The sequence below is a fragment of the Homo sapiens genome, chromosome 1, assembly GCF_000001405.40.
Source record: "Homo sapiens chromosome 1, GRCh38.p14 Primary Assembly".
Lineage (NCBI taxonomy): Eukaryota > Metazoa > Chordata > Mammalia > Primates > Hominidae > Homo > Homo sapiens.
Genome location: NC_000001.11, coordinates 172729633 through 172745570, shown reverse-complemented (window position 1 = coordinate 172745570; position 15938 = coordinate 172729633).

Below are 15938 nucleotides of genomic sequence, written 5' to 3'. Positions count from 1 at the left end.
GAAACTGGGTGGAAGAAAATAGATTCAGGAATTCTCCAATTAAACCATATAGGCAACCAGCTCCTCTGCCACCATATTAGCTGATCCTACATTTCATACCCACAGTTGAACTTCCAGGTAATCAACTAAATGAGGTCCATTCATGTTACCCTACTGTGCAGGCTTTTGGGATGGTTTGCCAACCACACTTCTAGAAGTCTCTCCTTTCATACAGAATCTCCTCTCATCTGGCAAGCTAGTCTCTTCTTGTTTTTCTGGTTTCTAAATGAATTCATATTGGAGCTTAACTTGCCAACCCTTATGAGTTGCTTTCAGAATGATCGCAACTGTTCTGAACAAGCCACCCTTTCTTGCTTGACTTCCCACTACTTTGGAGAGTGATTGTGAATCCTTGTGACTTCTCTTCACAGTACTCTTCTGCCACCTGGTGAAAGTTCGTAACACAACAAGACACTAGAGTTGCCATTCACTTTCAACTTCTACACACCCTGACACCAACACTAAGAAAACAGACACACTCACAGATGTCAGTCCATAAACACCTTGTAGGCATCTGATGCTCCCAGAAGAGGCCTGTCCACTAGGATTTCTGGGATGACCCCTCACCCATCTCTCCTTCTTCCGCCTCTCTGAAGGAAATAGCTGATTGAGAAGGATCCAGTTTTTTGCTAAGAGTTCACATTGAGACTGGAAAGGAAATGAGAATAAAAAGTATCTGGACTTCTGAAGGGGCCACAGTCAGCTCTGTGGGATAAGTGAAGCAGGAATTCCTGAGGACATCTTGCTGGTTCTCACCATCTTGTCTATAGTTCGTCCTAACAAATAAATCCGATGTCAACATTTATATCAAAGAAACAAGAAATAAATACCTATCTGTTTACCTCCTGTTTATATTAGGCCAGACATTTTACTTAATCTTCAGAATAGCTCTGTGAGATAATATATATAATTGTATAAATCTATGGGGTACAATATGATGTTTTCATCTATGTATACATTGTAGAAAGACTCAGTCAAGCTAATTAAAATATCGATCGCTTCACCAACTTATCATTTTTTGTAATGAGAACATTAAAAATCTATTCTTTTAGTAATTTTGAAATATATAATAACATATTATTAGCCACGGTCACCATGCAGTGTAATAGAACACTAAAATATATTTCTCTAATCTAACTTAAACTTTATACCCTTTGATCAACATCTTCCCTTTCCCAACACCTTCCAGAATATGTTAACACTCCCACTTCACAGAAAGAAAATGAAGGCATGGAGAGGCTAAGCAATGTGTCCAAAGTGACGTCCCTGGTTAGAGGAAGAGTTGAGGCTGAACCTCAGAGAGAAACGCCCTTGCAACTGCTGTACTTTTCTGACTCTTGCTATGCCACCTGGAGTACTGATCACTGGAGGAGAGAAAGAGGGAAAGAAACTCCCTACCTCCTTCCTGAGTCGACATTCTGTACCTCTTGGTACTGCATTTCTCAGGCACCCTAGTGCCCTTGGACCAGATTCCCAGCTTCCATGGCCTCAGGGAACATGGAATACTAATCATCCTTTTCCTTTGTCCTGGATAGTTGTAATAAGGAATCAGCAAGAGAAACTGAAAATCTAAATTCTCCTTCAGATCTAACTATTAAAAAATATGAAGCAATTAATAAAGTATGTATGTAGACATGTAAATAGAATAATAATATTTTAAATGTAACCTAAATGTTTGAAGGAACTTTTAAATAGATTTAAAAAGAAAATTAATTTTTAAAATCAAAATAATTTCTGAATCTTTTCTGCACACGAATGAACCTTTAGGGTCATGAAAAAGCTCAAACTGATGTATTTGAGATGTAAGAAGGACACCAGAAATGGAGTGCTTGCAACCCAGCCACCTGCCCTGACTGGCCAGCCTGGTGGCTCCTTCCTAGAGGAGAGATCAGGTAGGGCTCACTGGCATGGAGAAAAGCTGGTAAGTGTTGCTCTCTTAGGGAATCTCTGAACATAAGGAATGGGGAACAAGGAGAGGGGGAAAAAAGGAGGAACTCCTTCAAAGGACACTTTGGTCTGAGTGGCATCCATGGCAGAGACCATGAAAGGAACTCACAGATGACTCTCTGGAATAGAGATCACGAAGTGATGATGGTTCAAGAGCCAACTCCATTCCCATAGATGTGTTTTGATTGACTCACTCAGTGCTTTGTAAACTGTGAATTAGTGCCAGCATTTACAAATCAGGAAATTTCATATCAGTTTGTATTTTTGACTTGTCATGAGAAATGGAAGATCTGGTAATGCCAGGCCCACATCCCCACGTGAGAACAAGCTGAGTCCATCCAGGCCCTTCAGAGGATCAAGTGACTACTGCAGGCAGGCTGCAGTAGTCACTCAGCTTCCGTCTGGGAACCTAGAAGCAATTGAGTCTTTGGCTTTTGATCCAGCGGTGGCTGGCCACCCCACCAGCAAAGAACAGTGTACTGCCCCTAAAATCTGCCCACCCACCTAATTCTCAGCCTTCAGACAGGGCCATGACCACATGAATGTAGAGGCTATGGCCCCTCACCCCATTTAAGGATGTCCATAATTTGGTTAATCTTTCTGTACTTGTCAACTTGTGAATTGTTAAAGGCCAGAAGCTGACTCTTATTTTTCTTTGGACCCTATCCTCCTCCCCACTTTCACCCCTCTCAGTTCCTAATAAAGTGCCTTGCCTATAGTAGACTGTCAATAAATGTTGAATACATTTTTTTAAAAAAATCGCTGAGTGGGCGTTGTCTTCTACTGCCATCTAGCGACCATAAAATAGAATCATGCCTAAACACTGACACACCTGTAGGAATCACATGTTCCTTGCCCATCCATCTATTCATCTTCTTTCTTCCTTCCTTTATTTTTTTCATATTCTTATTTTTTCATTCCTTTGTCTATTCATTCATCCTTTCACTCAATACATACGTTTTGCTCATCACCTAGGTGACAGACACTGTGAGCTATGAAGAATCAATACAAACGTGCATAGATACAGAGAACTCCTATTGCTAGCCAAGAGGGAACAAGTCCACTACAGCCACTGTCTCTCATGGATTACAACTGAAAATAGTGGACAAAACATAAACTGCAACTACTTGAGAGCTCTAAAAAAATTAAGAATGCAAGCAAATTAGGAAGGAGAAGCTAAGCTTGAAGAAAAATCCATTCACAGGTGAATTTCCTTGGTATTTTTGTTCTTTTGTTTTCCCACTTTGACTCAAGAGTGGTTCCATCATGGAAGCGAGCAGCAAAAGCTCTAAGAGTATTTCTGATCAGAGGGCCCAGAAAATAGGTCCCCATAAAAAGAGGACTGGGAAAAATGGGAAGAGTAGAAAATTCCCATCAGTTTTTCTATTTTTTCCCAGTTCTACACCAAGGGCAGCCCACCCATGAACCTACAATGTGGTGGCAACAATGTCTCCAGTACCTAACACCTTGAGGGAAAACCCAAATTTTGGGCCAGAGGAACTAGAAAGGAACCAAAAGGAAATCCTGTAGTACAAAAAGGGTAGATGAATCACTTTTATGTTTTATCTTCCTCTCTCTTTTCTCTGCCATTTTGCTCTAAAGGCAGCCCCGATCATGGAGAATTATGGGTATTATGGTCACTATAGCTTCAAGTTAAATCTTATCTTTCTAGTGACCACATAACTAGGAAAACAAGCCCTTGGAAGTCAGAGAATTTGGGGGAAAGAAATACTTGAGGGGAAAGAGCTAGAGAAGGAAATCTTCTAATTCTGTAGCTAAAGACACACTGGAGTTATCTCTGAGTAGCACATGCACAGACAGACCCAGAGCAGCACAGCAAAGGCCTTGAAAATGTAACTAACATTGGAATCACCATCCAGAAAGGTGAGCTAAAACTTGCAGTCTGAACCTAACAAAATTGAGTATCTACAAAAGCAAAATAACAACAACCAAAAAATAACCTTCCCCAAAGGACTTTATTAGGACATAGAGTCTCCCCATATAGTACTCAAATTGTCAATAAAATCCAAAATAACTTGACATATAGCACCAAAAACATCTAACCACTCGTAAGGGAAAACAAAATCAACAGATGTCAATCCTGCGATGACCCAGATATGGGAATCAGACAGAATTTAGAGCAGTTACTATAATTGTGCTTCTAGAAGGAACCACTTTTGAAATGGATAAAAAAATAGAAGTGCTCAGCAGAGAAGCAGGAGCTACAAATACAGAATCAAATGGTGATTTTAGAACTAAAAAATATAATATCTGAAATATAAAATTTACTGGATGGACTCAAGGGAGATAATAGAGGAGTCAGCAAGCAAGTATAGATCAATAAAAATTATTCAATCTGAAGAATTCAGAGGGAAATTATTTTAAAAAACAGAGCTCCAGAGACCTAGAGGAAAATATTCAAAAGTCTAATATTCATATCATTGAAATCCCAGAAAAAGATGAGAGAGAGATTGGCACAGAAAAAAAATTTGAAGAAATAATGGCTTAAAATATGTAAATTATGAAATGAAAAACATAATGTGTAGGGAGCAGGAAATATGTAGTTTTTCTATGTAATGGAATTTAAGGGGTTATCAGCTTAAAACGTACTGTTATACCTATAAGACGTTATATATACACATCTTGGTGACCACAAAACAAAAACCTATAGTAGATATATAACAGACAAAGAAAAAAATCAAAGCATACCACTACAACAAATCATCAAATCACAAAAGAAGACTCAAAATAAGCAAAAAAAAAAAGAAAGAAAGAAAGAAAGAGAAATCTAACAAAATGGCAATAGGAAGTTCTTACCTACTGATAATTACCTTGAAAGTAAATAGATTAAATTCTCTAAGCAAAATAAATAGAGTGGTTGAATGGGGTGGTTTTGTTTGTCTGTTTGTTTGTTTTTGAAATGGAGTCTCGCTCTGTCACCCAGGCAGGAGGGCAGTGGCACAGTCTCAGCTCACTGCAACCTCTCCCTCCCAGGTTCAAGTGATTCTCCTGCCTCAGCCTCCCAAGTAGCTGGGACTACAGGTGCACACTACCACACCTGGCTAATATTTTGTATTTTTAGTAGAGACACATTTCCCCATGTTGGCCAGGCTGGTCTCAAACTCCTGACCTCAAGTGATCTGCCTGTCTCAGCTTCTCAAAGTGCTGAGATTACAGGGATGAGCCACCACACCTAGCCCTGAATGGATTTTTTTAAACCCTAACTATATGCTCTTTATAAGATACTTACTTCAGCTTCTAGGACATGTATAGACTGAAAGTGAAGGGATAGAAAAAGACATTCCATGAAAATGGAAAGGAAAAGATAGCAAATGTAGCTATACTTACGTCAAAATAGACTTTAAGTCAAAACTGTAAAAAGAAACAAAGAAGGCAATTTTTAATGACAAAGGAATCAATATATTAAGAAGATATAACAATTATAAATATATATGCAGGCGACATCAGAGTGCCTAAATACATAAAACACATACTAATAGATCTGAAGGGAGGAATAGACAGTAAAACAATAATAGTGGAGGACTTCAATACCTCACTTTCAACAATTAATAGATCATTCATACAATCAATGAGGAAATATTGGACTTAAACTACACTTTAGACCAAATGGACCTAACAGATGTATACAAAACACTCTCTCCAACAGAAGCATGTACACATTTGTCTTGAGTGCACATGAAACATTCTCTGGGATAGATCATATGTTAGGCCACAAAAGAAGTATTTAAATATGTTAGAAAATTGTAATCATACCAAGTATCTTCTCTGATCACAATGGTATGAAAATAGAAATTAATAACAGGAAAATTCAAAAATATGTGGAAGTTAAATAATGTGTTCCTGAACAGTTAATGGGTAAAGAAAAGAAATCAAAGGGGAAATTTTAAAATATCTTGAGACAAACAAAAATGGAAACAAACATACTAAAACTTAAGGGATGTAGCAAAAGCAGTTATAAGAGGGAAGTTCACGGTAGTTAATGCCTACATTAAAAAGAAAGAACTCAAGTAAACAACTTAATGTTACACTTCAAGGAACTAGAAAGAGAAGAACAAACTAAGCCCAAAGTTGATAGAAGAAAGATCCAAGCAGAAATAAGTGAAACAGAGACTAGAAAGCAATATAAAAGATCAATGAAACCAAAAGGTTTTTTTGAGAAGATTTTTAAAATTCAGCTACACTAAGAAAAAAAGAAAGAAAACTCAAATAAAATCAGTAATGAAAGAAGAGACGTTATGACAAATACCACAGAAATACAAAGGATTGTAAGAGACTACAAGAAACAATTATACACCAAAAAACTGAACAGTCTATAAGAAATGGATAAATCCTAAATATGTATGTGTATATATATATATATATATATATATATATATATATATATATATATATACATAAAACTTATCAAGTCTGAAACAAAAAGAAATAGAAAATCTGAACATACCAATAATGAGTAATAAGATTAAATCAGGAATCAAAAATCTCCCATCAAATTAAAGCCCAATAATAGATGGCCTCACTGGTGAATTCTATTAAGCATTGAAAGAGGAATGAATACCAATCATTCTCACTCTCCCAAAAAAATCGAAGAGGAGGGAAAACTTACAAAGGGATTTTTATGAGGCTAGTACTATCCTGATGCTAAAGTCAGACAAAGACACTACAAGAAAAGATTACAGGTCAATATTCCTGATGAACGTAAATGCAAAAATCCTCTGACAAAACAGCTACAAATTGAATTAAACAGCACATTAAAAGAATCCTACACTATAATCAAATGAGATTTATCCCTATGATGCAAGGATGGTTCAACAAATGTAAATCACTAAATGTGATGCACCACATTAACAGAATGAAGGATTACAATTGTATGATCATCTCAATAGATGCAGAAAAAGCATTTGAAAAAAAAATCAGTATGCTTCTATGACAAAAACTCCCAACAAATTGCGTTTAGCAATAATGTACTTCCACACGATAAGGTCATATATCACAAGCCTACAGCTAACATTCTATTCAATAGTGAAAAGTTGGAAGCCTTTCCTCTAGGATCAGGAACAAGATAAGGATACCAACTCCCACCACTTATATTCAACATTGTACTGGAAGTCCTAGGCAGAGAAATTATGAAAGAAAAAGAAATAAAAGCCATCTAAATCAGAAAAGAAGAAGTAAAATTGTCTCTCTTTGCAGATGACGTGGCCATATATAGAAAACTTTAAAGACTCCAAACACAAAAAAACTGTTAGAACTAACAAGTGAATTCACTAAAGTTACAAAACAGAAAATCGACATACAAAAATAAGTTGCATTTTTATACATTAACAATTAACTATTCAAAAAAGAAATTAAGAAAACAATTCAATTTACTATAGCATCAAAAAGAAGAAAATACTTAGGAATAAATTTAACCAGGGAGATGAAAGATCTGTATACTGAAAACTTTAAAACATTAATGAAAGGAGTGGAAGAAAAAGAAACCACAAATAAATGGAAAGATATCTTGTGTTTATGTATTATAGAATCAATATCAAAATGTTCATACTACCCAAAGTGATCTACAGATTCAATGTAATATTCCACCAGCAAAAAGATTATGACTTGCTGAAGGCATGGTATGCCTATAATATAAAGCATGGCAAAGAATAGTAAATAGAGAAATAAAAACCAGAGGGAAGAAATTATAAAATAATAAAAAAGTAAACCTAAATGTAGCCATATCGATAATTTCATTGAATATAAATGGTCTCAACATGCCAATTAAAAGATAGAAATTGTCAGAGTGGGGAAACAAAGAAGATCACCTAAAAGCTCTGTAGAATTGAAAATTAAGGCCAGGCGCGGTGGCTCATGCCTGTACTCCCAGCACTTTGGGAAACCGAGGTGGGCAGATCAACTGAAGTCAGGAGTTCAAGACCAGCCTGGCCAACATGTCAAAACCCAGTCTCTACTACAAATACAAATATTAGCTGGGCTTGGTGACACGTACCTGTAATCCCAGTTACTTGAGAAACTAAGACAGGAGAATACCTTGGACCTGGGAGGTGGAGGCTGCAGTGAGCCAAGATCACACCACTGCACTCCAGCCTGGGAGACAGGGTGAGCCTCCGTCAAAAAAAAAAAAAAAAGAAAGAAAGAAAAAATTAAACAACACCCTTCTAAATAACCCATTGATCAAAAAGTCTCAAGAGAATTCAGAAAATATTTTGACCTACTTAAATATGAAAAGAACATATCAAAAATTGGGGGATACAATTAAAGTCTATAAGCAGCTTACTATAAATATTATTATATAGATCAATTAAAAATAAAAGAATAGAAAATGACAAACCATCAACATACACTAACAAAAAGAATGCAAGAATGGCTATATTGTTATCAAAGCAAACTTCAGAACAAGGAACATTGTCAGGGAGGAAGAGAGGCAAACATACCAAGAACACATAACAATCCAGGTATGTATGTGCAAAACCACAGAGCTTCAAAATACATGAATCGAAAACTGATACAACTAAAAGGAAAAATGGACAAATCTACAATTATACTTGGAGACATCAAAGCACCTCCTGATAATTAACAGAAGTAGAAAATAGGCAAGAATTAAGAAGACCTGAACAACCAGAAAAGTGAACATTTTATAGCTGCTCAGTCCCTTGTCTTTTGAGAGAAAAAAAACATTCTAGAAAAGATAAAAATGAATTTATTTTATGAACAACCCTATTTGACCTAAGTTCCATGAACACTATTCTTCATCAACTAAATACTGGTTGGAACAGACTTATCTTTTATAAAAATTAACAGAAGTTATAATTCAATCTCTAGGTCATTTGTATGGCAGAAATATTACATATAGTTAATATTATTTACAAAGTCATGTTATTTTGACATTATGACAAATTGTGTCAGAAATGCCCAGAGTACCTTCTCTTAGCCTTTTCCTGGGGACTTAATTTTGTTTTTTCTTAGTTATGTCTAGATTTAATCATTGCTTCTGCCAATTCAGTTTCTAGGTTCTGATGTTCAGTTGTGTATAATAGACTATGAAATATAGTGATCTGATAGTTTACTAGCGTATTTAAAGGAAATATCTTTTAAAAGTAAATAGTTTGTGGCAGGCATCAGTCTATGAAAGGGAAGCCTAATTTTGAAAACTATAAGCTTTCATATTATATAATATGTGAAAACCTCATATATGTGAAAGCATTATCGCTATGTATTTTTAATAGCATTATACCAGAAATTTTTAGAAGATTATATACTTTTTAATTAAATTATAGCAGTGAAAATAGCAAACACAAGAACTAGATTTTGGACAGAAGAAGAAAGAAATACATAAAATCTCTTTCACCCTTTTTTCTGATTCTTTTTCAAAATAGCAAACTTTTGCCTGTTGTGACTGAAATGTACTACCAAATATGACTTCTCAGGGTCTTTCATATTTCAAATATTGTATCAATGTGTTTTATTTTTAATTCTCTAATTTATGATAACTTGTTTTTCTAGTTTGTGGTATGCAAAGATATGTGCAGAGCCTTTCAAATAAAGTGACTCTGAACAAAAACAAAAAAAAGAAGATCTGAACATTCTCCGTCAACTTGACCTAATTAATATTTATAAAGTATTCTGCCCTAGAACAAGAGAATATACATTCTTTTCAAGTGTATGTGGAACATTCACCAAGGTAGATCAGAGATTAGCAAACTATAACCTGTGGACAAAATTTCACCCACCATCTATTTTTGTAAATTAGTCTTATTGAGACATAACCATGCCAATTTGTTTGTGTGTTGTCTGTGGCTATTTTTGTGTCACAAAGGCAGAGATGAATAGTGCAGGAGAGACCATATGGCCCTAACACCAAAAGTATTTACTATCTGACCCTTTACAGAAAAGGTTACCTACCAATCTTCTGCACCATAAGCAAACTATAGCCAATTGAAAACAATAGAAAGCATTGTTTTCTTTGACCGTAAGAGAATTAAATTAGAAATTAATAACGAGGGTATCTGGAAAATTCCAAAAATTTTGGAAATTAAGTAAAACCTTTCTAAGTAACCCATTGATCAAAAAGGAAGTCTCAAGAGAATTCAGAAAATATTCTAAATTACCTAAATATTAAAATACAGGGCCAGACACAGTGGCTCCCACCTGTAATCCCAGCACTTTGGGAGGCCAAGGCAGGTGCTTCACTTGAGGCCAGGAGTTCAAGACCAGCCTGGCAAACATGATGAAACCCCATCTCTACTAAAGATACAAAAAAAATAGCTGGGAGTGGTGGCACACACCTGTAGTCCCAGCTACTGAGACACGAGACATGAGAATCACTTGAACCCGGGAGGTGGAGTTTGCAGTGACCCGAGATTGTGCCACTGCACTCCAGCCTGGGTAACAGAGTAAGACTCTTGTCTCAAAAAATAACTACATAAATAAATAATGTTTCAACTCTGGACAATATCCATTGACTTCCAGCCAAGAAACATGAGGAAAAAAAGAAAAGAATAAAGCTTTTAAATTTATATTCCAACTTTATACCTTAAGAAACTAGAAAAATAAGAGCAAATTAAACACAAAGCAAATGGAAGGAAGAAAATAAGAAAGAGCACAAATCAATAAAATTAAAAACACAAAATAGAGAACATTTATAAAATCAATTGTATTAAAACATCAAAATTATTAATAAACCCCTAGCCAGACTAAGACAGAAAAAAGATAACACAAATTATCAATATCAGGAATGAAAGAAGGGATATTACTACAGATACTACAGACATTAAAAGGGTACAAGAGAATACTACAAATAACTTTATGCCCATACATTCAATGACTTAAATAAAATGGAATAAATCTTTAAAGATACACTGCCAAAATTCACTTGAGAAGAAATAAGTAAACTGAGCCATCTATTAAAAGCTGAATTTATAGTTTAAAACCTTCCAACAAAGAAAAGTACCACAAGACTTCACTGATAATATCAACCAAACATTTGAGAAAGTAATAACATTAAATCAACATAATTTTTTCCAGAAAATAGACTAGGAGAAATATTTTCTAAATTTTTTTGTGAGGTCATCATTACCCTGACAACAAAACCAGACAAAATGTATGCAAGAGAATAAAATTACAAACCAATATCCTTCATGAGCATGATCACGAAAAATTCCCAATGAATTATTAACAAGTAATATCCAGGAACATATAAGAAGGAATATACACCATGAGCAAGATAAGTTTATCTACGAAATGAAAGAATGTTTCTTCATTTGAAAATCAATCAGTATAATTAATCATATCAGCAAACTAAAAAAAAAAAAACTATGTGATTATCTTGATTATCTTCATAGATGCAGAAAAAAACATTTGACAAAACTCAATGTCCAGTCATAATTTTTTTAAAAAACTTACAGCAAACTATAAATATAAGGTTGTCTTCTTAAACTGATTGAAGGCAGCTATGAAAAATGTACAGTTAATTTTTTATGGAGAAATAGTGAATACTTAGGACCAAGACAAGGCTAGCTGCTCTCACTACTCTTATTTGACATTGTACTTTCTGTTTAGCTAGTTCAGTAACACAAAAAAAGGAAGTAAAAAACATACAGATTGGAAAGGAGGAAATAAAACTTTTTATTCAGATACATTTGTCTATGTGGAAAATCTTAAGGAATCTACAAAAAGACCCCAGGAATTAATAAGTGAGTTTAGCAAGGTTGCAGGATACAAGACCAATATACAAAATCAATTCTATTTCTCAGTAACAGCAATGGTCAATTTTCTAATCTTTTAATTTTTTAAAAATCTTAGGTGCTGTTTACAATACCACAGACAATAAAATATTTATGCATTGTATATATTTCTTAATATAGCATATTTGATACCACACACATACATACATAGGATCTGTATGCTTAAAATAACACAAAATTAATGGAAAAAAATCAAAATAGACCTAAATAAATGTAGTGATATACTGTGTTCATGGATTGAAAGCCTCAATATTGTTAAGATGTCAGTTCTTCTCAAACTGATATATAGATTCAATGCAATATCGATCAGAAACCCCGCAGGATTTTATGTAGATATCAACAAGCTGATTCTAAAATGCATATGAGGAAGCAAAGATACGAGAACAGTCAAAACCATTGGGATAAAAAATTAAGTCTGATTTTCAAGACTTACTATAAAAAAGTGGTCCTCAATTGGAGACAATCCCCCTCCCCCACCACCACTGCCAGAGGATATTTAGTAATGTCTGAGGACATGTTTTTATTAATATACAATAATTTTACATATTTATGGGGTACATGTGATACCATGCATACAATGTGTAATGATAAGGGTAGTTGGGATATCCATCAACTTGGACATTTATCATTTCTTTGTGTCAAGAACATTCCACATCTTGTCTTTTAGCATTGAATACACAATAAATAATTGATAACTATAGTCACATTACTGTGCTATCATCGAACACCAAAAATTACTCTTTCTAACTAGATATTTTGTACCCATTAACCAAACTCTCTTCATACCCCCTACCCGCTACCCTTCTCAGCCCCTGGTAACCATTCTCTACATCCATGAGATCAACTTTTCTAACTCCCACATATAAGTAAAAACATGCAATATTTGTCTTTCTGTACCAGGGTTATTTTAATTAACATAATGCCCTCCAAGCTCATCTGAAGACATTTTTGAATGTCATGACTCAGGGAATGCTACTAGCATCTAGTAAGTAGAAGCCAGGCATGCTGCTAAAATTCGCATGATGCCTTCCACGGCAAAGAATTATCTGGCCCAAAATATCAATAGGGCTAAGGGTGAGAAATTCTGCAATAAGGCTACAGTAATAAAGACAGTGTGGTATTGACAAAAAGATAAAAAACTGAAGAAGAAAAAGAAAAAGAAAGAAAGAAACAAAGAAGGAAGGAAGGAAGGAAAGAAAGAAAGAAAATAAAGTGTCTAGAAGGAAAGAAAAAGAAAGAAAGAAAGAAAGAGAGAAAGAAAGAAAGAAAATAAAGTGTCCAGTTGTAGACCAACACAAATTGACTTTGACAAAGATGGAAAGTCAATTTATTGGAGAAACGATAGTCTTTTCATCAAATGGTTCTAGGGAAATTGAGCATTTATGTGCAGAAAAATGATTCTTGTCTCATATCATATATTTTTTTTTAAGTTACCTTACAATGGATCATAGGCTTAACTGTAAAACTTCTAGAAAAAAAAAAACACAGGGGAAAATCTTTGTGAATCTGGGTTAGGCAAACGTGGCATACTATATATAACCCATTTTCTTTATACAGTCAAATGTTCACCAACACTTAGGTTAATTCCATGACTTTGCTGTTGTGAATATGTTCATCAGAAATATTGGCTCATAGTTTTTTTTTTTTTTTTCAATGTCATTGCCTGATTTTGGTATCAGGGTGATACTGGTTTCATAGAACAAGCTTGGGAGGAATAGCTCCCCCTTAATGGTGTGAAAAAACTACGGTAAGATTGGTATCAGCTCTTCTTCGCACATCTGGTAAAATTTGTTTTTAAATCTGTCTGGTCCTGGGCTTTTGTTGTTTGTTGAAAGATTTTTTTTTTTTTTTTTTTTTTTTGAGACGGCGTCTCACTCTGTTGCCCAGGCTGGAGTGCAGCGGTGCGATCTCGGCTCACTGCAAGTTCCGCCTCCCGAGTCCACGCCATTCTCCTGCCTCAGCCTCCCGAGTAGCTGGGACTACAGGCGCCCGCCACCATGCCTGGCTAATTTTTTTTTTTTTTTTTTTTTTTTTTTTTTTGTATTTTTAGTAGAGACTGAGTTTCACCGTGTTAGCTGGGAGAAAGATTTTTCTTTATTACTGATTCAATTTCATTACTTGTTATTGGTCTGTTTAGGATTTCTATTTCTTCCTGGTTCAAACGTGGAAGGTTGCATGTTTCCAGGAATTTATCCATTTCTTCCAGGTTTTCTAGGGTGTACACATAGGGATGTTGATAATTCTGGAGTTGTTTTGTTTTGTTTTCTGACAAAGTTTCACTCTCAATGCCCAGGCTAGAGTGCAATGGCACAGTCTTGGCTCACTATGACCTCCCTCTCCTGGGTTCAAGCGATTCTCCTGCCTCAGCCTCCAAAGTAGCTGGGACTACAGGCACCCGTCACCATGCCCAGCCAATTTTTAAATTATTATTATTTTTAGTAAAGACGGGGTTTCAACATGTTGGCCAGGCTGATCTTGAACTCCTGACCTCAGGTGTTCCGCCCGCCTCCCCCTCCCAAAGTGTTGGGATTACAGGCATGAGCCACTGCACCGGGCCAGTTCTGGAGATCTTTTGTATTTCTGTGGTATCAGTTGTAATGTTGTCACCTTTACCATTTGTGATTGTGCTTACATGATTCTTTTTTCTTGCTTAAACTAGCTAGTGATCTACCTGTTTTATTTATCCTTTCAAAGAATCAATTTTTCATTTTGTTGATTCTTTGTAATTTTTTTTTGTCTGAATCTCATTTAGTTCTGATTTGATCTTTGTTATTTCTTTTCTTCTGCTAGCTTTGGGTTTGGATTGCTCTTGCTTTTCTAGTCCCTTGAAGTGCAAAGTTAGGCTGCTAATTTTAGATTTTTCTATCTTTTTTATGTAGGTATATAATGCTATACATTTTCCCTTTAGTACTACTTTTGCTGTTTCCCAGAGGTTTTGGTATCTTGTGCCTCTATATTATTTGTTTCAAAGAAAATTTGATTTTGGCCTTAATTTTGTTTACCCAAAAGTCATTCAGGAGCAAGTTGTTTAGTTCCTATGTACTTGTGTAAGTTTCAGGGTTCCTGTTGGCATTGATTTCTAATTTTATTTCCTTGTGGTCCAAGAAGACATTTGATATGATTTAAATTTTTTCGAAGTTGTAGAGACTTGTTTTGTGGCCAAGCATATGGTCAGTTTTGGAGAATGTTTCATGTGCAGGTGAGAAAACTGTATATTCTGTGGTTGTTGGGTAGGATGTTCTGTAAATGTCTATTAGGTCCATTTGGTCTAGAGTTCAGTTTAAGTCCAGAGTTTGTTGACTTTCTACCTCCATGACTTCTCTAGTTATGTCAGGGGAGTGCTGAAGTCCCTGACTACTACTGTATTGCTGTCCATTTCTTCTCTTAGGTCTGGCAGTATTTGTTTTATGAATCTGCATGCCCTGGTGTTGGGTACACATATATTTAGGATGGTTAAATCTGCTTGTTGTATTGAACCCTTTATAATTACATAATACCCTTTTTAGTCTTTTTAAAAAATTGTGTTGGTTTAAAGTTTGTTTTATCTGATACAATAAGGATGGCTACTCCTATTTGCTTTTGTTTTACATTTTCATGGTACATGTTTTCCATCCCTTTACTTTGAGTCCGTAGGTGCTTTAACCATTAAGTCGTTCTCTTGTAGGCAAAAGATGATTGGGTCTTGGTTCTTTTAATCCAGTTTTCCTAGATCTATAGTATATATATTTTATGTGGAGCATTTTGGCCATTTACTTTTAAAGTTAATATTCAATGTGTAGTTTTGTTTCTGTCATAGCATTGTTAGCTAGTTGCCTTGGGTCTCAATTGTACAATTGCTTTATAGGGTCTGTGGGCTTTCTTTTACATGTGCTTTTATGATGGCAAGTATTGTCCTTTTGTTTTCATATTTATGACTAATTTGATCATTTCTTGTAGGGTCAGTCTAGTGGTGATTAATTCCCTTATCATTTGCTTGTCTGGAAAAGTCTATTTCTCCTTCATTTATGAAGCTTAGTTTGGCAGGATATAAAATTCTTGGCTAGCATTTTCTTTTCTTTAAAGAAGTGAAAAATAGGCCCACTTTTCTCTTCTAGCTTGTAAGGCATCTGCTGAGAAGTCTGCTGTTAGTCTGATGGAATTTATTTTATCAGTGATTTGACATTTCTCTCTAGCTCCCTTTAATATTTA